A 23,527-nucleotide genomic window follows, 5' to 3' on the forward strand; every position below is an offset into this window, starting at 1 on the left:
CTTGTTCACATCTCTATTCCCAGAATTCCTCACAGCGTGGCCCTCAAAAAATATTGTTTGAGTGGAGGGGTAAAGTCACGTTGTCCATTTTTTTTCAAAGCTAGATCACTGCTTAGGAAGCTTGGTAGGACAGTTAATGATGAAATTTAATAAGAATGGTTCATCATTTCTCCCTAGTGGTAAAGAACTCCACCATTTACAAATCGCTTTCTCTGTATTCATTCGTTCGGTCATTCATGCATTCATCTAGGAAGTCTTTTTGAAATGTCTACCATGTACCTGACAGAGTAGGTCTGCTGTTTACTGAGTGATTTTACAAACTTAAGATAGGCTCAGCACCATGGAGGGATGGCTTATTTCTAAGTGGCTGAGAATCAACATATACCTACCTTATTACTTTGCCAAAGGCCCCAGCACTGGGCCTTTGGGTGCCTCAAGGAATATGTAAATGTAAACAAAATAAGTGACGGTAGTAATTATTATCAGTTGTCCTGGTTATACCCTCTAAGTGGTAGATTCAGAGAAAATGAGTTTTAGGAATAGAGTCATCAGTAAAAACTGATGATTGAAAGCAGGTATAATTATGATTTTTAGCGTCTTCACTCCTCTTGGTGCAAATGCAGTGTATTTAGAATTGATTCTGTGCTTTTGAAAATATCAGCCTGCTGAAATCCCTTATTAGCAGGAACTCACTGTGGATTAAATGAAATTCTATAGCCTAAGGAAATGTATCTGTGGCTCAATAGTCTGGACACATGAGAAGTGTTACACAAGGGAATGTGATTTATGAAAAAGTTTTCTGACTTGGCTGCAGTTTTCCTTGAGTCCATAAATGCCAAAACGTTTAGGCAATAGTCTAAATATTTACCTGCTGGGCGTGAACTGTCATAGTAAGGGCTGGGTGTTGGAAAGCCACAAGCGGTGGGGGTGAAGGGGCGTCCTTGACCCATGCTGCCCCACGGCTCTCTCTCGGGCCTCCCTTCCCGACCCCTCTCCCTCCCACCCCTTCATCGGGCTGCTTTCTGGAGATCTCAGGCCTGTGCCAGCCCCACCTCTGCTGGGCAAAGCAAGTGAGGAGATGCTGCCTCTCAAAAGAGAGACCCAGCAGAGCCCTGAATCTTGCAGCTAGCTTGGCATGTTTTTAGTTCCAGGGTCCAATCAACACTAGGTCTCCCAGCTGTAAGAGAACTCCCTGAGACACTTTTTTGTGGCTTTGTTGCAAGGCTAAAAGGACAGTTGTGTGATCCCAATAGAAATGTCTGCAGGCTTGAGTTCAGTTGAGTCCTCAGCAGAAACTGGCAGTTGTATCAAGGAGCTGTTTGCTCTGTGCTGTCACCCATTCTAGCCAGAGGCATCGGAAGGGGCAACTCTGCCCTAACTCCTCCTTGGTCAATGCTGGCAAAGAGATGCCAACAGGGTGAGGCCGATCATGGTTCTCAAGATGGGGCCACCCTGGTCAAAGGTTCTTGGAGGTCTCATGTCCTGGGCTGGGGGCAGCAGGAAGATCGATGCTGCATTGAAGGCACTGGCCGCTAGTATTCAGTAAAGAATGGGTTCCATCCTGGCTGACTTGGAAAGTTTTGGACATTTCCATGTAACTGTCATATTGAAGCTGGTTCACTGAGTTCTTCCTCGGCCTTTGAATTGCTGATTTTTTTTTTCCAGTTAAAAAAGGACAAGTAAACTGATGAGCTCTTGGGTGGCATGTGCTGTTCTCAGCCATGGGAGGTGGTGGTAAGCTGGGGCCACACGGCATGCTGGGTGACTGTTGAATTCAGCCAAGGCCATGCTGAGCAGGAGGGGGCATGGCAGAGTCACACGTGTAGAAGAAGGTGCCCGCCTGAGAAGGTGAGAATGGAAATGTTTCCTTGATGGGTTTGCACAGCTCCCTGGAAAGAGGAGACTTGCTGAGAGCAGCAAGGAGACAGCAAGGCTTCACAGCTGCAGCACACTGTCTGAATCAGTGCTTGCCCCTGTGGAGTTCTGTATGGATTTTATAACAAGCCTGTGACACTGGCACCATGTGCCTGCCATGGGCCACCACGGAGACCTGCCGAGTTCCCATGAGGAATTTGGGGTATGGGGGCCTCCTGCTTTGGTGCCATCCCTAGTGATCTCTGCTTGGAGCTCGTATTTCTCCCTTTACCTTTGAGTGGGACCACGCCCCTCTGCTTGCCCAAGGCTCCCTGTGCCTCCTGACTCTTCTCTGCTACCTGAAACCCTCCTCGACTCCTCCCTCTCCCTCTGCATTCCCCAGGGTCTTCAGGGTCAAGCTCAAGGTTTGCCTCACCCCCAAAACCCTCCTCAGCCACATTGCCTAATTTATTCCTTTTGCCCAAATTCTATAACTGAGATGAGACTGGATCATCTAAGCGGCCCCAGGGAGGCAGCCCAGGGGCAATTAGAGCATTGTGTCTATGGAAACACACATAGTACTGGCATCCCCCCCACCAAGCTCTGTACCCTGTGAAACCCTGGGCCCACGTCTATTTCCAGCCATCCCTGCTCCCAGGAATCACGCCATTCCTCCACAGTTTAGGTACCCGGCCTTGACCTTTACCCCAGCAATTCCATCCAGGTATTTCAGAATGCTTTGCAACATGCAGGTGGCTTCTTAGGAGTGGGGGTATTTGCCAACAAACCAACCATGAGCCTGCATCCAAAGAAAGCCTTCTACAGCCACATGAAGACAGTGTGATGCTCTCGATGCTTGGGAAGGCCTCGCAAGGCACATGGGGGCAGTGATTGAAGGAGTCAAAGAGAATTTCATCTGCACACATGGTGGCGGCTAGCTGTCCAGTGTGCAAATCCAAAGACGTCTCCAGTTACACCTATGCTTCCCAGCCCTTCTTTCCTCCTGTGATGGAGTTAACCCCTCCCTCCCCAGTGGTCCACAAAACAATAGGCTTTCCCAGTTGTTCTCAAGAGCTCCTCTCCCCATCCACCTGAGGGCTCCCAGCCATAAGCCCTCTACCTGAGGTCTCAAAGGGGTCTGGAAAGGCTCTGGGCAAGCCGACAGCAACCGATGTGAAAATAGGTGGTTCACTCGCACACTCAGCTCCCCATCTGGTCCACTCTAGTTATTTATTTCAAAAATCTGAAAGCAGCTTTTTTATACACAAGTTTCCTTATGTGGGGAAAATGTATGTGAATGACATTTGTTCTCATTGGGGTGGAATTGAAGATATCTTTAGGTGTCACTTAATATTCAGTGCTGAAAGGGCCTTTTCACCCTTAACTAATTTTTCTAGGATTTCTATGGGACCAAAGTGGGCAAGGGGACAAGTATATTTGGTTCTGGGGGGCTCTTATCTCCCAGCATCGCCTTGCATTGACTCCTTTCAAAGTAGAAAACCCTCCCAGTCTGTTATTTCTAGAAGGAAGCCTTGCCTTTATCATCATCTCACTACCATAATCACCATCATTATCATCACCATCATCATCACCATTATCACCACCACTATCATCATGATCACCATCATCATCACCATCATCATCGTCATCACCACCATCACCGCCACCACCATCATCATCATCCTCGTTGTCATCATCATCAACATCAACATCATCTTTTACTAAAGTGAGAGATAGGGCCAAGTCCATTGAACTGTGTACCTTTAATTCCGACAAGCTTTCCCTTCCTCTCACTTTCTCCAGCACTTTTCTGAGCTTCTGGTATAACAAGTTTTAGAATTTGATTACAGCACCATCTACTGGGTACTAGACTTCCCATTTTTCTAGGCCTTTCCTATACGTTGATGTTTGCTTCTTCTTTCTGTTTTTCCTCCGCTCTCTCCTGCTTTTTCCCCCATGAAAGTAACAATTGTTAGTTTGAAAAGGTTCCATCAATTAATTCCTAAAAGTGAAGCTCTTCTAAAATGAGGAAAAGCTTAACATCCCTTGCCAATAAATACAAAGACAATGGCCGATGCTTACTGCAATGCATTTCATATAATTATTTCCCACGATCAATAATCTCATCAGTAGGCTCAGTGATGGGGACATCACGGTAATGAATGGCTGGGTCCAGCGGCCATCAGAAGTGCTGTCCTTATCCCTGTCACCTCTGAGCTGCCCAAGGGCATGACGGGAATCAGGGCTCTGCCTGGCCAAAGGATTAATCATAGTTATCCCCAACTCATATTCGTGTAATTTGCCTTCCTAATGCAGCCTGCCCTGAATTGATCAGCATGGATTTCTTGCTGCACAATAGGCCACTCTTGTGGTGTAGAGAAGAGTGAGAAGGACTCTGTGTACATGGCAGGGAAGGGTCAAATTGGATTAGTCACGCTCAGGAAGTAACAAAAACTGAATCACACCAGACCACTGCTGAAGCATGTTTCTGGAAGCCAGGCTAGAACTTCTGGGGACTTTGGGAAGGGAAGGAGAGACGGCTCCATGCACTCACAGTGTTCTTTAGGGGCCAGGCAGAGACGTGGGCCTCCCCGTCTCAGTCAGGGCCACAGGAGGAGCAAGGAGCAAGGACAGCAGGAAAAGGGACTTTCTTGTTGTGATCTTTTAATTCCCAGTTCCTAAAGGGCACCTACTGTGCTTTTCCAGAGACCTTTAAAAGAAAAGTCCCAGGATTTGGAACTCTGAGGTGCTGCCTACTATGGAATATGCAGGGATGGAGGCCATGGCTTCACAGTTGCAACTGAGTGGCTCAAATCAAATGCAAACCGCAGGATCCTTCCTTTTGCCATAGCAAAGGCTACTTAACCTCTCCATTTCTTTCACTCTGGATGTAGTTGTGGTGGGTAGTAGGGAAAAGTCTCCATCCATGGAGTATTTCCTACTCTTAGACAATGTTTCCCAAGTTTGGCCTGGCTGGTCCATTTGGGGATTGGATCTTACTGCTCTCCACATACTCTGAACCTTTTCTCACCTCAGTGCCTTTGCATAGGCTGGTCCCTCTGCCTGGAATGCCTTTCTCTCCGTTCTTTCCCTGTAAAACTCAGCTCAATTGGCAGCTTCGAGGTGAAACCCTTATTGTCTCCCAGCAATTAGTCTGAATCCTGTTGTATCTGGTTCGTCCCTGGGGTGTAGGATGTGCCACCTTCCCTTTTAGTTACTTGTCTGGTGCCTTCCTTCCTATTGAGCCAAGAGACAGGAGACCCCACCCCTTCTACCGTGGTGTCTGTACTAGTTTGTTCTAGCATTGCTACAAAGAAATACCTGAGACTGGGTAATTTATAAAGAAAAGAGGTTTAATTGGCTCACGATTCTGCAGGCTGTACAGAAAATGTTATTCTAACATCTGCTTGGCTTCTGGGGAAGCCTCAGGAAACTTACATTCATGGTGGAAGAGGAAGTGGGAGCCAGCACTTTACATGGCTGGAAGAGGAGGAAGAGAGAGAGGGAGGAGGCGCCACACTTAAACAACCAAATCTCAAGAGAACTCACTCACTATACCGTGCCAAGTGGGGATGGGGCTAAACCATTCACGAAAACTCCACCCTCATGATCCAGTCACCTCCCACCAGGCCTCCAACACTGGGGATTATAATTTGACATGTGATTTGGGTGGGGCCACAGATCTAAACCACATCAGTGTCTCTGTATCCTTGTAGCCTAGCACACAGTGCTCTCAATCTCAGTTTGTTCATTTGTTAGCTCACTTGTACTGAGTGTACTGAGCACCGGCTTGGTTCTTAATGCTGGGGACATGGTGATAAACAAAGTGGTCTGCTTCTGTCCCTGTGCAGCATGTAATCTCGTGGAGGAGGCAGACGTTAGTTGAATAGCCCCATAGGTCTATTCAACAGGAGGATGAGGGCCTCAGAGACATTCAGCAAGCACAATAGGAACTGACCTGGTATATCAGGGGAGGCTTCCTGAAGCAGGTGACTTTTGACCTGAAATCCACAGGGTGGGGCAGAGGGACAGAATGAAGGTGGGTGAGAGAGTGGGTAGGGAAAGTGTGTCAGCAAAGGGAAGGTCTTGCAGGAAGGGTCTGATCATGAAGATGTTTGGCAGGTATGGGTTGAGTTGCATCTCCCTAAAAACTGCTCAGTCCTGGTACCCGTGAATGCAACCTCATTTGGAAATAGGGTCTTTGCAGATGTTATCAAGTGAAGATGAGGTCATATTGAAGTAGGTTGGGCCCTAAATCCTATATGACTTGTGTCCTTATAAGAAGAGTGGAGGGAGACACACAGGGAGGAGAATGCCATGTGAGGACACAGACACACGAGGGAGGTCGCCTTGTGACAGTGGAGGCAGAGAGGGAAGTGCTGCAGCTGGAAGCCCAGAAACCCCAAGGGCTACCAGCCACCCCTGGAAGCCACGAGAGGCAAGAAAATGTCCTCCCCTCCAGCCTGCATAGGGAGTGGGGCAAAATCCACACCTTAATTTTGGACTTCTGGCCTCTAGACGGGGAGAGAATAAATTTCTGCTGTTTTAAGCCACTAGGTTTGTGGAGATTTGTTATGGCAGTTCTAGGGAATATAGAAATGGTAGGTTTGGGGAAATGAGAGTGTGGCACAGCGTGGCTGGTCTGAGGAGCGGGGAGGAGAGAGGAGAATGAGATGAGGCTGGCAGTGTGGGCAGCAGCCAGCATCATGGCGGCGTGTTGGTTGTATTCAGGATGTGCTTTTCATCCTAAGAGCAGTGCATTTTAGGAACACACCCTTCTCTGCTGCGGTATGGGGTGCCCTGGAGGCCAGGACTGAGAGCAGTGTGGATGGATCCGGGTGGCTGGTGATGTCCTAAACTAGGTGGCAATGGAAGGAAGCTGAGGGATGGGAGAAATAAATGGTAAATGGTTGAATTTGGAATAAATAAGGGAATGAGTGGGACCATGCCATCTGCAGAGGAAGAATGAAGACCGACTTTCAGGAGAAACTCCCTGCATTCTGGAGCAGAGGAGTGACCTTGGGACCGAAGAAGGGTTGTTACCTCTCTTCTATAACAAGGATGATTTAAGTATCATCATTATGGGTCCTGCCCTAAAGGTCCCCACAGCAACGTCATGCTATCTCATGAAAGCTGCCAAGAGGCTGCTGCTGTCCCCAGGCTACAGATGGGACAGCCTTAGAGAGGTTCAGTAACTTCCCTCATGTCCCCAGGGATGGCAAAGTGCTAGCACTGGAAACCAGTTCTCCATGCTTCCTCAATGCCTGTCCAACTTTCTTCTCACCGCGCGACTATCAGACACCTCCTGCGTGTGCTCCCTGACTCCATCAGCACACACCAGCCAGGCCAGAGCCTACTGAAATGGTTCTTAATCTTTTTTCTCTTTTAAATGTTATTTTATTCTGTCACGTTATCTGCATCTTGCTTCTTTGTAGGGGTGGAACAAGGGGAGAGTTAAAAGAATGCAACAGACACACAACTAAAAGAAACAGAGGGAACAGAGGGCCAGATCAGATAGCACTGCCTGCTGACAACACCTCTTGGAGTCAGCCGGTGGCACCAGCACCTTCAGAACATGAAGTGTTTCTACAGAGGAGGCAACTGGTCTCCTGGGTGGAGCTTAATAGAGACTTCAGGTTTAAGATGATGGTGACATGGAAGTGTAGATCTGGTGCCTGGTGCTCAGTTAAAGATGAAACAGGACAGAAGCTTGGAGCATCTAGTATCAGTCTTGGGCTGTCTCACAAAAGATCTTCCCCTTATGATGAACAGGAGGATTCTGTAGCCTTCGGGGATAGCCTGGAGGGACAGGAGGAGGCAGTGACCACACCCATATTCCAGTCTGGCTCTGCTGCACCCTTGCTGTGTCTTTGGCTTCTCTGGGCCTCAGTTTTTTCATCTGTAAAATGAGGGACTGGACGAAATGACCTTATGTTCTACTCAAAAATGCAACAATCATAATCTTATTCTTAACATATCATTAAGACATAAAATTAAGAGTTTATGTATTCCCTGCAAGTTTGAGTTGTCTTGAATCCACAGCATCAGAGCTCACCACTGCCCTCTTGGTTCTGGCTTTGGCCTTAGCTCTCAAATGAAATGCAATTCTTGGATTCAAATGCTATCAGTAGGTCAAGTTTTTTGTTTGTTTGTTTTTTTCTAGTGTGTTTGTCAAAGGGAAAGGGAAGGAGCTGCTGCTGTTTGTGATGTTCCTATATCACGTCATGTCCTGTGCAGGCCCAGGGTCGCTGACCACCCTTCTGGTCCTTGTTTTCCTTTATTTCTGTTGTGCTATACCACCAGCCCACTGACAGTATTTCTGTTGCTCCATCCCACCAATCCCACTAAATGACAAAAGCTAACAAAGTGCATTTTGTGGAGGTGGGTGTATCCTCTAGAAAATTCTAGTAGTGTAATGGCCAAGGGAATTTGTTGCCAAATTTCCTTCTAAAGGGGTTGATTTTGCTACTTAACAAACCATGCTAAAACTCAGTGGCTTAAAAGAAAAATCATTTATTCTCCTGGGCCTTCAGGTTGGCTGGAGATCTGATCATGGCTGGGCTCATTTGTGTGTCTGGGAATCTGCCAGGGATCAGACCATCTAGGCTGGGCTCAGCAGGGTTGGTTCATCTCTCCTCCATGTGCCTCTCATCCTCCCGGGGTCACTGGGCTAACCTGGGTATGTTCTTATGGTCATGGCAGAGGCCCAAACGGGAAAGCCCAACTGCATAAGCACTTTACAAATGTTTGGCTACATCATATCCACTCACTCTGTCAGCCACAGCAAGTCACATGGTCACCCCAAAGGCAAGGACAGGGAGGTATCCTCTGCCTCTTTAGTGGGGGAAACTGCAAAGTCATGTGGCAAAGGGTGTGGACACAGGGAGGAACTAAGAAGCAGGGTCCTTAATGCACTTTGTATTTTTACAAATCACATGTGCATACTGATACTATCTCTCTTTCATATTTGTACTTTCCTTCTCCCAGTGACAACTGTGCTTCTCATCTACATCAATCTAGTTGCTCATCCTCGAGGTACCCAAAATAGTGTCAGAATTACTATCCCAAGAGCACTACCACCAACAAACTCACTAAGTTAAAGTGCAAGATTTTTTTGTAGCTATTCTTATCCTTTGGATACATCCCACTAAGTGTGTAGAGTCAGATCACTGAGTTCAAAAATTACTTGAACTAATTCTTTTTTCTGAATGGTTTTAAGTTTGATATGCATATAGAATCATTTGTTTCTGTTTGTATTAGATTTTAGGGTTTGCTTTTGTTTATCCTTTTTTACTTAGTATTTTTTAAATATGTAAAACATGCCATGGTTCAAAAGACAAAACCATGTAAAAAGGTATACTCAGAGAAATCTCACCCCTAAACCTCCTCTCTCCATGCCATTCCTACTTACTCCCTATAGGTAGACATTTTTATTAGATTTTGGTTTATCATTCTGTGTGTCTTTTTATGAAAATGAGCACGTGTGTGTGTATAATATGTATATATGTGTATACATATGTGTGTTTATTAACTCTATTGAGTGGATATGCATTAGTGTATTCAAACACTCCCAGGGGTGCACATTTGGTGGAGGCCAGTGTATCGTTAGGAAAAATTCTAGCAGTGCAATGGCTGGGCCAAGGGAATTTGTTGCCAAATTTCCCTCTAAAGGCATTGTGCTATTTTGTACTTGTGCAATCAGCATATGAGAGTTAACACAAGCCCTGTCTTCATGAGGATATTGAGGGAAAAGAAATGAAAGTTTGGGGAATTGTCCAGAGACTTGAGCTTTTGTGACAGGGAACTTCCAGTTTCCCAAATTAGTCATTGTGCAGCACAGGTGTGATTGGTTAGAATTTTCTCTGTGATCATCTCAGAACATCTGTTTTGCCAAAAGCGTTATTCCCTTTTTCTGTTCATTTTCTAGGGCTGCTTTAACAGACGATCACAAACTTGGTGGCTTTAAACAACAGAAATTTATTTTCTCACAGTTCTGGGGGCCAGATATCTGAGATCAATATTGATATGGTTTGGCTCTGTGTCCCCACCCAAATCTCATCTTGTAGCTCCCATAATCCCCGCATGCTGTGGGAGGGACTCGGTGGGAGATGGTTGAATCAATGGGGTGGGTCTTTCCCATGTTGTTCTCATAATGGTGAGTCTGTCTCATGAAATCTGATGGTTTTAAATGGGAGTCTCCCTGCACAAGCTCTCTTTGCCTACTGCCATTCATGTAAAACATGACTTGCTCCTCCTTGCCTTGCGCCATGATTGTGAGGCCTCCCCAGCCACATGGAATTGTAAGTCCATTAAACTGCTTTCCTGTATAAATGACCCAGTCTCAGATATGTCTTTATCAGCAGTGTGAAAATGGACTAATACAGTGAATTGGTACCAGTAGAGTGGGGTGCTGCTGAAAAGATACCTGAAAATGTGGAAGTGACTTTGGCACTGGGTAACAGGCAGAGGTTGGAACAGTTTGGAGGGCTCAGAAGAAGACAGGAAAATGTGGGAAAGTTTGGAACTCCCTAGAGACTTGTTGAATGGCTTTGACCAAAATGCTGATAGCAATATGGACAATGAAACCCAGGCTAAGGTGGTCTCAGATGGAGATGAGGAACTTGTTGGGAATTGGAGCAAAGGTGACTCTTGTTATGTTTTAGCAAAGAGACTGGCAGCATTTTGCCCCTGCCCTAGAGATTTGTGGAACTTTGAACTTTAGAGAGATAATTTAGGGTATCTGGCAGAAGAGATTTCTAAGCAGCAAAGCATTCAAGAAGTGACTTGGGCATTGTTAAAGGCATTCAGTTTTATAAGGGAAGCAGAGCATAAAAATTTGGAAAATTTGCAGTCTGACAACGTGATAGAAAAGAAAATCCCATTTTCTGAGGAGAAATTCAAACTTGCTGCAGAAATTTGCATAAGTAACAAAAAGTGGAATGTTAATCCCCAAGAGAATGGGGAAAACGTCTCCAGGGCATGTCAGAGACCTTTGTGGCAGCCCCTCCCATCACAGGCCCAGAGGTTTAGTAGGAAAAAATGGTTTCAGGGGCCTGGCCCAGGGTCCCTCTGCTGTGTGCAGTCTAGGGACTTGCTGCCCTGTATCCCAGCCACTCCAGCCATGACTAAAAGGGGCCAAGGTATAGCTTAGGCTGTTGGTTCAGAGGGTGAAAGCACCAAGCCTTGGCAGCTTCCACATGATGTTGAGCCTGTGGGTTCACAGGAGTCAAGAACTGAAGTTTGGGAACCTTCGCCTAGATTTCAGAGGAAGTATGGAAATGCATGGATGCCCAGGCAAAAGTTTGCTGCAGGGGCAGGGCCCTCATGGAGAACCTCGGCTAGGGCAATGTGGAAGGGAAATGTGGGGTTGGAGGCCCCACACAGAGTCCCCACTGGGGCACCACCTAGTGGAGCTATGAGAAGAGGGTCATCGCCATCCTCCAGACCTCAGAATGGTAGATCCACTGACAGTTTGCACCATGTGCCTGGAAAAGCCACAGACACTCAATGCCATAAAAGCAGTGAGGAGGGTCCTATACCCTGCAAAGCCACAGGGGTGGAGCTGCCCAAGACCATGGGAACTCACCTCTTGCATCAGTGTGACCTGTATGTGAGACATGTTGTCAAAGGAGATCATTATGGAGCTTTAAGATTTGACTGCCCCACTGGATTTTGGACTTGCTTGGGGCCTGTAACTCCTTTGTTTTGGCCAATTTCTCCCATTTGGAACAGCTGTATTTACCCATGACTGTACTCCCATTGTATCTAGGAAGTAACTAACTTGCTTTTGATTTTACAGGCTGATAGGCAGAAGAGACTTGCCTTGTCTCAGATGAGACTTTGGATTGTGGACTTTTGAGTTAATGCTGAGATGAATTAAAACTTTAGGAGACTACTGGGAAGGCATAATTGGTTTTGAAATGTGAAGACATGAGATTAGGGGGTGGGCAGGGGCGGAAAGATTTGGTTTGGCTCTGTGTCCCCTCCTACATCTCATCCTGTAGCTCCCATAATTCCCACATGTTGTGGAAGGGACTCGGTAGGAGATGGTTGAATCATGGGGGCAGGTCGTTCCCCTGCTGTTCTCATGATAGTGAGTGAGTCTGATGAGATCTCATGGTTTTTAAAACAGGGGTCTCCTCTCTGCACAAGCTCTCTTTGCCTGCTGCCATCCATGTAAGATGTGACTTGCTCCTTCTTGCCTTGCGCCATGATTGTGAGGCCTCCCCAGCCAAGTGTAACTGTAAGTCCACTAAACCTCTTTCCTGAATAAATTACCCAGTCTCAGGTATGCCTTTATTAGCAGTGCGAAAATGGACTAATACATATATCACTGGGCTGGAATCAAGGTACCTGCAGAGCTGTGCTTTCTCTGGAGGTTCCAAGCAAGAAGTCATTCCTTACCTCCTCCAGCTGGGGTGGCTGCTGGTAGTCCTTGGCTTGTGGCCATGTCACCCCAGGCTCTGCCTCTGTGGTCACACCTCCTTCTCCTCTGTGTCTGTGTATAAAATCTTCCTCTGACCCCTCAGATGAGGATGCATGTGCTTGAGTTTAAGGACCATCCAAATAATCCAAGATAATGTCTGTCTCAAGATCCTTAATTTAGTCACATCATATCTGTAAGGGTTCATCCTTTTTAATGCCATATAAGGTAACAGTCTCAAGTTTCAAGAATGAGGATGTAGATATATTTCGGTGGGGGCATTATTAGCCTAACACAATCACTTTTAATTTCTAAAGTGCTTCTGTGCACATTTTCTCATGTCATTCTCAACATTTTCATGAGAAGGATAAATCCTGTCTCACTGTACCGACTCCACAGGTGGGGGACAGTGACTTAGAGAGCTGAGGGCATCCAGTTGCAGGTCTAGAAGAACTTCTGGGGCCAGTCTGTTCCCAAGAGGATGACTCCAGAGAGAATCGCCCCATTTCTGAAACCAGCATGGTCCCAGATGTTGGCCTGGACCCTGCCACTAAATAGCTTTGTGCTAACTGATATCTGCTAACTATGTGGGGAGGCTGAAAAAGCATGTTCTTTGTAGTCAGACAAAGCTGCGTTTGACTGTACTCAGTGAACTTGGGGGTTACTCACTTTCCTTGAGCCTTAATTTCCTCATCTGTAAAATGGGAATCATAGGAGAGGTGGGATAACATTTGCCAAACATGAATCCACCCTTAGACTTGAGATGCAAAGAAACGTTTTCTTTCTTTATGTTTCCACATGAAATCCCACCTGGTTTCAACTTGACCACTTGGCAAGAATCCCCCAGCGGTCACCCAGGGCCACTCTTCTCTTCCCGGGGACTTTGTTGAGATTCAGGGGGTAAGCAACTCAAGAATGGGCAGGTGAGGCCTTGGGAGGTGAGGCCTCAGGCAGATCAGGCCAGGGCCATTCACTCACCACCGGTAACTCCTGGCCCAGGTTCTCCCAGCCCACTGGAAGGTTTCTCAGAGGTTGTGATCCCGAGCAAGGCCACAAGGGGCTCCTGGCACTGTCTCCACAGGGGTCCTCCCAGGTAGGTGAGGTCCCAGTGCCCACCACTCACAGGACCCTCAAAAGTGCATCCTGTTCCAGTCCAGGTAGGCCCCCCATCCCCAGCCTATCTTTGAAACCGAGAGCCTGACCCTCCCCTGCCCTCAGGGATGACCTAGAGAAATACCCTCAGGTTATTCAAAAACAGGTTCTGTTTAGGGAGGTCTCTTGGAGGTCCTGACAAGTTCTCTTCTTTCCAGAGATTAAAACCCCCAAAACCTGTGTCTGTACCCCCTGAACCCCACAGGGAGTGAGGAAATCTCAGACAGGAAGAGTCTGGTCCCGCTGGGGGTGAGGTGGGTGTAAGGAAGAAAATTCCTTTTATTCCCTAGAGCATATAACAAAGAAAAAAAAGAACAAGAAACAATTCACTTTCTAGTGCACACCCTGGGACGCAGCAGATCTGGGCTGCAGGTGACTTCCCTGTCACGGCACCCCACCCCCTGCATTTTCCCTGGCTACCGTCCAACCAGAACCCGGAAGAGCATGAAGGCCCACAGCCAGTCAGTGACAGTAATGGTGATGGGGAAGGGGCTGCCTCTGTAGTTCATCCCCTGGCTGGGACTTCGTAGAAGGGAAGGTGGTGGCATTGGAAGGCGGATCCACTAGGGAACAGTGGGCTCAGCTGTGGAAGACAAAATGGAAGGACTGAGCGGCCCGGGACCCAGGCCTTTGGGCCAGCGGGTCAGGGAGCCCTCTCTTAGGCTTTGTTGGGAGGAGACAACGGTTAAGTGCTGACCCCTGGAAAGGGAGGCCCCTGGGAGAATGGGAGCTCTCTGGGAAGGGGGTGTCAGAAAGTAAACCTGAGAACAGCTAGGGCTGGAGGGTATGTTTTCATCTTCTAGGAAGTTGCAGAGAACGTTGGTCAAGCTGCGAGGGTGGGTGAGTTCTTAGAGGAGTGTTTGCAGCTGTGGGAAGAGTCTGCCTTTGGGAAGCTGGCGGCGCCTGCACAATCTCTTTAGTGCAACTCAGCCTCACTCACAGGCTGGCTGAGAGGAGTGTGTGGCTCTACGCCTCTGGTTGTTCTGGAACAGTCTGAGTTGGGGGAAGAGGGTGAGAGTTACTTTTTCAGCGGAGGCAAGTGCTGTCCACACTCTCTCTAGTTTTCTATCCAGACCACGTGGAAGAGAATAAATGTGGGACCATTGGGGAGTCTCCGTGGTTCTTTTTGGGTCCCAAGCCCTGATTGCTTCTCATGCTATCGCTGTGGCCCCAGCAGTCCTCGTAAGGAGCCAAGGTTCGGGGGGAGGTGCTTGATCTGTCACGCAGGGAGGAAGGAACAGCTGAGATGCAAGCCAGGTATGAGTGCTCCCCAGGGGTCCCCCCATATCTTAGCCAGCACGTGGTGGCCAGATGTACCCAAGACAGTTGTCTGGCAGCACCACGGGACTGGATATCCACTTAAACCTGAGGAGCCTGGACTTGTCTTCCCACCTGGGTAGGGTGTGGTATTCTGCGATGTTATCCATGCTTCTTTCTCTGGCATTTCCTCCTCTCCTTCTTCCATCTTCTAGTATAGGCAGCAGAAGAGCAAAAATACAAATAATCTGCTTTTGACTTCCAGCAGCTTAGGTCTTAGCACAGGAAAATATTTGAAAGAATGCAAATCAGTCAAAGCCAGTTCTTATTGCCCTGTGGCTAGATAACTTTTGGAGGGGATTGAAAGAAGAAGTGAGAGAAGAAGAGAGAGCCTTGGTGCTTGTGGGAAGGGAAGGAGAAGCAGACCCCTCTCTGGATCTGGGGACTGAGAGCAGAGGAGACACGCACCTCCAATTCCCCTGGGGAAGGCCTGGGAACTTGTGAAATCTCAGTACTGCCCTTGACTCATTACGGTGCAAGAGCTATAGGGCAGAAAGAGCCAGGTGTGGGTGTCTCAGTGCAGGGAAGTTGAGAGTCCCCAGAGAGGTACAGAAGCAGCCAGATGGCTCCTGGGTGTCGAAGAGGGGTTGGAGACAGTAGGAGTGGTGGTGGGGTGGAGAGGGAGAGAGACCATTTGGTTAAGCTGGGAGGCAGGAGCGAGGTAGGAGTCTCCATGGATCATCAGGACTGGCTCAGGAACTGAGACCAGCAGGGAATGAGAACATGTTTGTGGCCATGCAGTGAGATGACAACAAGGACCAGACCCCGCTGCCTGACATCTTAGCCACACGTAAGCCCCAAGTACAGCCCCAGGGCTGGCTGACAGCACTGAGTTAGTTGAAAATGAGTTTTAGAGAAAGGGGGCCTCAATAGAAATTCAGTTCACTTTCATTGAGCAGAAGTTACATTTCTTGCTTTTCTGGTTTCCTAATGACTAGATTTTTCTAGCCCAATTTTTCCAGCAGAGAATTAATTCACCTTTGAAGCCACCTGCTTCTGGTCACTTAATTGTAGAGGAACAGACAGAGATCACACACACTCATACACACTGACACACACCCATTACTGTAGAGGAACAGAGTCACACACACTCATACACACTCACACACACCCCAGTTATTGTAGAGGAACAGCGATCACACACACTCATACACACTCACATACACACCCCCATTATTGTAGAGGAACAGAGATCTCTCTCTCTCACACACACGTTATTGTAGAAGAGCAGAGATCACACACACTCATATACACTCACACACACCCCCATTATTATAGAGGAACAGAGATCACACACCCTCACACACACACCCCCATTATTGCAGAGGAACAGAAATCACACACATACACTCACACATACACCGCCATTATTGCAGAGGAACAGAGATCACACACACTCAGACACACTTACATACACACCCCCATTATTGTAGAGGAACAGACAGAGATCACACTCACACACACACACCCATTATTGTAGAGGAAAAGCGATCACACACACTCATACATACAAACCCTCATTATTGCGAGGAACAGAGATCACACACACTCATACACACTCACACATACAGACACCCATTATTGTAGAGGAACAAAAATCACACACACTCATACACACACACACACATTATGGCAGAGGAACAGAGATCACACACGCTTATACACACTCACACACACGCTCCCATTGTTTCTGCAGAAAGAGTTGTGCAGACTTGCTTTCAGTATTTCAAAAACTGTGAACAATGCTATCATTTGACAATAAAAGCACAAAAAGAGAGACATTTAAAAATTATTTCCCCCTCTGCAATTACTACCCCAGGCCTTTCCATGGGTTTAGAGATGAGGGGAGCAGAGAATGATGCCCACCTCCACCCCCTCTTCTCATCCAGTGTGGCTCTGAAATATCTCTTAATAAGAAGAAAGGTAAAATATTACATAATGTATTTGTTTATTTGACAAATATTTGGTAAGAACATAGCAGACATTTACTGTGCATTTACTGTGGCCGTGCAACCCTTTACAAAAAGTTGGCTTCCTGTAATCCTCCTGACAAGCCCTCAGGGTCTGTGATGGCTTTGTTTGGCCTGTTTCAGTCCTGTGCCAAGGGCTAAGGATTCTAGAAAGAACACCACCCAACCTGCACCCTGTGGAAGCTCATAGTTCAAGCAGCAGAGGTCAGTTCATCTCCCCACCCGTGCCAGAACGTGTGGGCTATGCAGACAGAGAAAGGAGCATCCAACTCTGACAGGCAGGAAGGCTTCCTGGAAAAGGTGATGCCTGAATTGGGACTTAAAGGATAAACAAGAGTTTGTTGGGGGAAGGGCAGTTGGCAATATGATCATGTCAATTTTACCAAATGCACCAAGGCCCTCTAGCCATACAAATTCTCCAACATGCCATAGATTGGCTACCCGCAGTCTCTGTTCCCTTGTCCCTGTGTGGGGTGCTCTCTGCCATCACCTGATTAATGAGCTCCCCCTCATCCTTCAAGTCTCAGCTGAGTGGCTGCTTGGCTGTGCTGTTTCCTGGACAGAATGAATCACATCCTCTCATACTTTCCCTGCCTCATCTGGGGAACGAGGTTGGATGAATGAATGATTGAATGAATGAATGCACAATTATCTAACCTCCCCACCCCCAAAAAATGAGGAGGAATTGGAATGATGTTGTTCTGCAGGGTCCCCTTAGATCATTATATTAATCCAAGTGTTTTTTAATTACTTGAGGAAAAGAGTACTTTGTGTTGCAAGTAATGCAGAAGACCAAATTACACAAAACAAACAAACAAAGCAATGCTGGGGCTCATTGTGAAAAAAAGAAATCACTGGCTGGGAGTGAGGAGATCCACATTCTAGTTCACGTAACTCCCCTCTTCAAACTTGGTGAACCTGTGACACATGCATGACACAGAGAATGAAAGATACAAGACACAGCGTGGTGCTGCAGGCTGGACTGCAGGCTCAGGTGTGAGCGCCAGGACAGCTCCCCACGTGGAGAGGGCTGAGTCCTAGTGAGGCCCAGCTGCTGCACCCATCCGTGCCAATGGCAACTTCCACTTGTGTGCCATGCTGGAGACTCAGGTTGGCATCCCCAGCCCCCAAAGATGCTACTGTCTCCACCTGGATGTCTCCCAGGCTCTTCAGAGTCACATTGTCCCAAACACCCATGGCTGCTTTCTCCAGCCCCCTTCAAGCCTATGCCTCCTCCCTGTCTCTGTTACTCCCACAGTCATGCACTCAGGTGTGCCGCCTGACATCTGGTCTTCATAGTCTCCTCCCCCTCCTCTGGGCACTGAGGAGGTTCTTGGAGGTGGGGGATGCCCCATGATATGGTTTGGCTGTGTCCCCACCCAAATCTCATCTTGAATTCCCACATGTTGCGGGAGGGACCCAGTGGGAGTTGGTTGAATCATGGGGGCAGGTCTTTCCCGTGCTATTCTCTTGATAGGGAATAAGTCTCAGGAGATCTGATGGTTTTATAGCGGGGAGTTTCCCTGCACAAGCTCTCTCTCTGCCTGCTGCCATCCATGTAAGATGTGACTTGCTCCTCCTTGCCTTCCACCATGATTGTGAGGCCTCCTCAGCCACATGGAACTGTGAGTCCAGTAAACCGCTTTTTCTTCCCAGTCTTGGGTATGTCTTTATCAGCAGAATGAAGATGAACTAATATACCCCACTCCAAGGGAAGAAGGAACCCCCTTCTCCCTGCAGTCCCTGGAGCCTCAGCCTGGCCAGAGAAGGGTGAGGAGAAAGCTTTGAGTTGGGCATGAGATTGGAATTTTAAACTAGACACAATTTTAATAATGAAAATAACCTAAAAGTTTTAGAATCTGCCCAAGAGACCCTTCCAGGATATGCTGAGCCCCCAGGAAGGGACAGCTGGTGCTGCACCATTAGAGTGGCATTCAGGGAAGTAAAATGACTTGATATGCTCAGGCCACTCAGTGGAGGCTGGGTGTCCCGCTATTGCTGGTGGCTGAGAACTGCTGTCCTGCCTGGGTTGGCCTGGATGTTCTGGCTCCTGTCCACCTCTGGGACCACACAGACCTCCTACTGGGCATCCTGATGGGGAAAACCAGGGCCATGGCTGAGACAATCAGGCTCTGATGGTCAAACTGAATGGCTGTGGACAGTCCACAGTGAGATGGCAGGTGTCTGCCTGGCAGGCGTCCAGGTGAAGGAGCAGTGACCAGGTCCGCCTGCGTTTGGGTTGGGCTTCTGGATGTGTTGTCCACATATGCAGGTGGAACACGGGACTGTTATGTGGCTTCCCTGTCAGACACCTGAGCTGGCTGCCTGCATTTATCTGGTTCGACACCAGGTACTTTTCGACACCAGGTACTTCCCCCAAACACAAAGCTAGGCTGTTAATGACAGCATAAAGATGGCACAGGATGTGCATAATCCAACTGAGGCTATTACAAGAAAGAAAATTTGGTGAAAGATGCCCAATGCATTGGGAAAGATGAAATGCCTCTTTCCATACATATGAGTTTTATCCAGCTAGAAATAGACTGTTTAAATAACTTTCTTAATTAAATAAAGAGGATATTTTAAAGTTAGATCTGGAAAACCCTCATACCTCCAGCGCATGGTTTCAATGAAATATCCCTTAACATGAAAATATAGACAGTTAGTTTTTTCTTCCAAAGTGAAATGCTGAGAGGCTTCCATTCCTGGTTTATTATGCTTTCTGTATCTCTGCTCATTTTTCACCAGTATTGCATTAAGTATTGATATTGATTTCTTGTAAATGGAACTGAAATAGATGGCCCACAGTTTTTGTTATTGTTCGGTGGCACTTGTATGTAATTTATTATGGCTGTAATGGAGGCTGCCCCTCGCTGCCACGGCTTAAATTAAATGTGCCACACTCTGGCCTCTGCTTGTCACCGGCATCTCTCATTTGATAGCAAAAATTATTATGTATAAAGTTTCTCTTTCCTTCTCACCCCTTCCATAAGAAACAATAACTGTGCCCTTTGTATTGTTTTGAAAGTTTGTGTTGATGACGTCCATCATTAGTGAAAAATATGAAAGTAGGAAGGGAGAGGACAATTTCCTCCTGGCAGCTGGGTTCTGTTTGGTTTCTGGGAGGCCTGGCAGACAGGAGACCTGGAGTCCTGGCCTGGTTTTACTTCAACTCAATGGAGTGACCTTGGGCTAGTCCCCTTCTCCTTCTGACTGTGGTTTTGTGAAGATGCATCCATGGCTCACGTATGTGCAGGGCTCCAATGACAGCCCCTGCAGTCCAGGGCCAGGGAGCTAAGGTGCCCTTTGTCTGTGTGTTTTCCCTGTAGGGAGTGCCCCAGGATAAGCTGGTGAGATGGCAGGGTGGCACCTGAGTGGGCTTGGGCACCAGGCTGTCATGGCTGAGGACATCTGAAGGCAAAATTGCCTGGGGACAAGCAGCTTTGGGTGTCCCATCCAAGGTGCAGTGCAGGTCCACAGAGAGGAGGCACATCTTGAAGCCAGAGAGTGGCCCCCTCCACAACAGGAAAGGGCAAAGCAAGGACAAGGGGAAAGTGTCCTGGCAAAAAAACAAAAACAAAAACAAAACAAAAAAAACACACAACCCAAAACTGGAAATTCTCTTTCTCTTTCAGTTGAACCTCTTGGCTGGGCCAGTACCCGAAAAGCCACACCGAATAATCTTGGGGAATAGCTGTGCGACCATCCTTTCCCAGCATGCTCAGGATTCTGCAAATGTCCTCTGCCTTCTCTAAGGCCCCCATCTCCCTTTCAGGGTTCTGTAGCGTGTGTTCAACTTCTGGCCTGTGTCTTTCACTGTGTCGGGGTATTTTTAGGGGGATAGAATAGGGTGAGAAGCAACAGGAACTATCATGACTGGGGGGAATAGGCAGGCCCAGTATTAACGTGGCGTGTGTGTGTGTGTGTGTGTGTGTGTGTGTGTGTGTGTGTGTGTATTTGTGTGAATGTGTGCATGTGTGTGTTTGTGTTTGTGCATAGCACCTCAAGTGTAGGCATCTTTATTCCCAAGACAGCCCTTGCCAAAGACAGGGTCAAGTCACATGCTCTTAGACCTGATAATTCTGCTTATGTGATTTTCACTTCAAATGATTTCCTGTTAGGCATAAAGGTTTCTACTAAAGAAAAATTTAAGGTCCTCACACAAGCCACTTCTGCTCCTCCACTTCTTAAAGAACCAAGTTAGATTTTAGTGCATTCAGCATGGGGCAAAACAGTGTCTATTAATTAGACTTTCATTTCTATTGACAATGGGGCCTACAGGCCTTGCACTGAGGTGGACACAGACCTTTTGTGGTGCCCTGTTGATCCTGGTTCTGCTCGTGGAAAATTAGGCCTGATTGCCCTATGAAGGCCCCTTCTCTAGTTTCCCTCTCTCACCTGCTAAGTCTCCATTCTTCCTCTAACTGCTTTAAATAGGTCAGCTGAGTTTCATTCTTACAGTCATCAGGCCTTTGGTGAAGGCATCTGTGCTCTTGCTGAAGTCTGCAACATTTCCCAACATGCAGGCCAAGGGCCCTTCTCTTTCGGTCTGACCACTTGTCTGTTCATGCATGCATGCTTTCATTCATTCAGAAAATGTGTCAAGAAAAGAGCACATGATTTGGAGGCAGACGTAATTCAGTGGTGTGCCGGAGTGGGATATTTCCAGCTTGCAAAAGCGGATTGCTAAATTTGTAAGTGTTTTGCAGCTGGTTTTTAAACATATATTAAAAATGAAATTGTAGAAAATTGCAATTAAATAAATTATATCAAAAACAGAAAATAAATACTCAAAACTCATCATTTTCTAATTATTTTATAACATTGTATTACCATCTGTATCAGAGGTTTCCAAAGTTTTTCTATGAAAGTGCAGATAGTAAGTATTTTAGGCTTTCTTGTCTCTGACACACTATTCAGGTCTGCTGTTTTAAGGTAAAAGGAGCCACAGACAATGCATCAAAGAATGGGCATGGCTGTACTCCTGTAAAACTATTTATAAACATGTAGCACTAGATTTGGCCCATAGCCCAGGTCAAGTTTGCCAACTCTTGATCTATGCTTTTGAGGTTATTTATGTCTGTAATATCCTTCTGGTGGAAATACTGTATAATGGTTGCTCCCCAACTCTGCCTTCCATGAGCTCATGCTGGCAGCTTGGAATCAGCCATGGTGGGAGTATTTACACCACAGAAATTGGCAAACACTAACAATCAGTTCTCTTTTCCCAGAGAACTGGCTAAACATTCACGGGGACACCACTGGGTGCGTCTGAGTCTTGACTCCGTGTTATATTAGCTCTGTGGCCTTAGGCACATGATTTACTTTCTGAGCTTTAGTTACCTTCAATAAAGGCAGAGACTGTGCCTATCCCAGAGCACTGGCAGGGGCTGAAGTGACACAATGTGACCTAACGCGTGTAAAGCACACAGCCATGGGGCCTGGTTTAAGGGGGATTCACAGTTGAGACAAGAACTGGCTCTGGCCTCAGGAATTCTCAGGGTCCCGGAGGGAGAAGGTATAGCTCAACCATAGAACGTAAAAGAAAGAATCATAACCTGCAGTGGAAAGATCTGATCAGCCACTCTCCAACCTGGGGACTTCTGACAGCTGATTCTTGGGCCTCAGAGCTATGGTTTCAATCTCAACCACGACCCTCCAGGCAAGCCCTCTGCAACCCAGCTCCTGCCTCCACTTCCCACTGCTGACCCGACCACACACCCCGAGACCCTTCGCCCTTCCTGATGCACAGTCACGCCCTACAGTCCTTGTTCCCACTACCCCCCTCTTCCTGCGCCTCCCGTCCCTGCCCTTGTCTCTGGACTCAGCTCACAGGCAGCCTCCCTCCGTAGCTTCTCAGCCACTCCCAGATAGATCTCCCCATCTACAGGCTTCTATATCCTTGAGAGGGGATTCCAGCTCTTCCCCGTGGCCTGTGAGGCCCTGCACGCTCTGGACCCCTAGGAATGAATCATGTTTGGTATTTTCTATATTTTATGATGCTTTGACATCTTGGGGACCTTACTGGCCAGAAAGCAAATTGCCTGCAAGCCCACCACCACTCACATGTAACCAACCAGTCCAGGGCCCATTCTCCACTCACCTTCTCTATCTCACTCACACACTAACCAATATTTCCCCTGCCCTAAACCACCCCTGAACCAGATACCGAGCATCTAGAGACCACCCCAGAGTCCAGAGGTCCCCCAACACGATTCAGACTAGCTGGTCCTGGGCTGTTTCCTCTGCCTGGCCTGGCCTTTCCTGAGGAAACCACAATGAGGGCTCTGCTGGCCTAGGCTTCTGCCTCACTCTTTGTGTCTTGGCCCTGTCCAGTCCTTCACCTCGTGGTTCTCTCTCTTGTCACTCAATTGCCTCTATAAATTAAATCTGGGGTACAATCCTGAGACACCCTCCATCATCTCCCCAGCCTCCTCTCCTAACCTGCCCCCTGCACTTCATTCCAGATGCACTGGTGGCATGCCACCCCTCAGGCGTGCTGCACTTGGGCCTGCCCCAGGGCCCTTGCACTTGCCTTTCCCTCTGCCTGCACTGCTCCACCCCCAGGTATTCTCACAACTCAGCCCCTCACTATGGAAAGACTTTGTCTTGTCGGTGCTTTGTCAGAAGACAGCCCATGTTCTCTAATAAAAAACCCATTCTACTACCACACTCACCTGGCACTCCCTATTCGATAACCTGCTTTGTTTCTCAATCTCCTACCAACACCTGGCATCAGACACATTTGTTTATTTCTGCCCCTTCTTCTTGAGTACAAGCCCCATGAAGGCAGGAATAGGCTTGTTGAGCT

The 23,527-nt window shown here is 47.5% G+C and overlaps 1 long non-coding RNA gene across 3 annotated transcripts in view, besides 4 other annotated features; it reads left to right on the forward strand.

Moving 5' to 3' along the window:
- The window catches only part of LINC02641 (long intergenic non-protein coding RNA 2641), a 214,291-nt gene that overhangs the window by 29,273 nt on the left and 161,491 nt on the right, over positions 1–23,527 (forward strand). The gene's annotated exons all lie outside the window — the stretch shown is intronic.
- Positions 14,770–15,149: an enhancer, noted in NCBI's record as "active region_4154". NCBI's record gives its function as "activates an Ori minimal core promoter by ATAC-STARR-seq in GM12878 lymphoblastoid cells {active_cell/tissue: GM12878}" and the evidence as "EXISTENCE:reporter gene assay evidence [ECO:0000049][PMID:35858748]".
- Positions 15,300–15,559: an enhancer, noted in NCBI's record as "active region_4155". NCBI's record gives its function as "activates an Ori minimal core promoter by ATAC-STARR-seq in GM12878 lymphoblastoid cells {active_cell/tissue: GM12878}" and the evidence as "EXISTENCE:reporter gene assay evidence [ECO:0000049][PMID:35858748]".
- Positions 15,660–15,769: an enhancer, noted in NCBI's record as "active region_4156". NCBI's record gives its function as "activates an Ori minimal core promoter by ATAC-STARR-seq in GM12878 lymphoblastoid cells {active_cell/tissue: GM12878}" and the evidence as "EXISTENCE:reporter gene assay evidence [ECO:0000049][PMID:35858748]".
- Positions 20,890–21,199: an enhancer, noted in NCBI's record as "active region_4157". NCBI's record gives its function as "activates an Ori minimal core promoter by ATAC-STARR-seq in GM12878 lymphoblastoid cells {active_cell/tissue: GM12878}" and the evidence as "EXISTENCE:reporter gene assay evidence [ECO:0000049][PMID:35858748]".

This window comes from Homo sapiens, chromosome 10 (assembly GCF_000001405.40).
Source record: "Homo sapiens chromosome 10, GRCh38.p14 Primary Assembly".
NCBI classification, from domain to species: domain Eukaryota; kingdom Metazoa; phylum Chordata; class Mammalia; order Primates; family Hominidae; genus Homo; species Homo sapiens.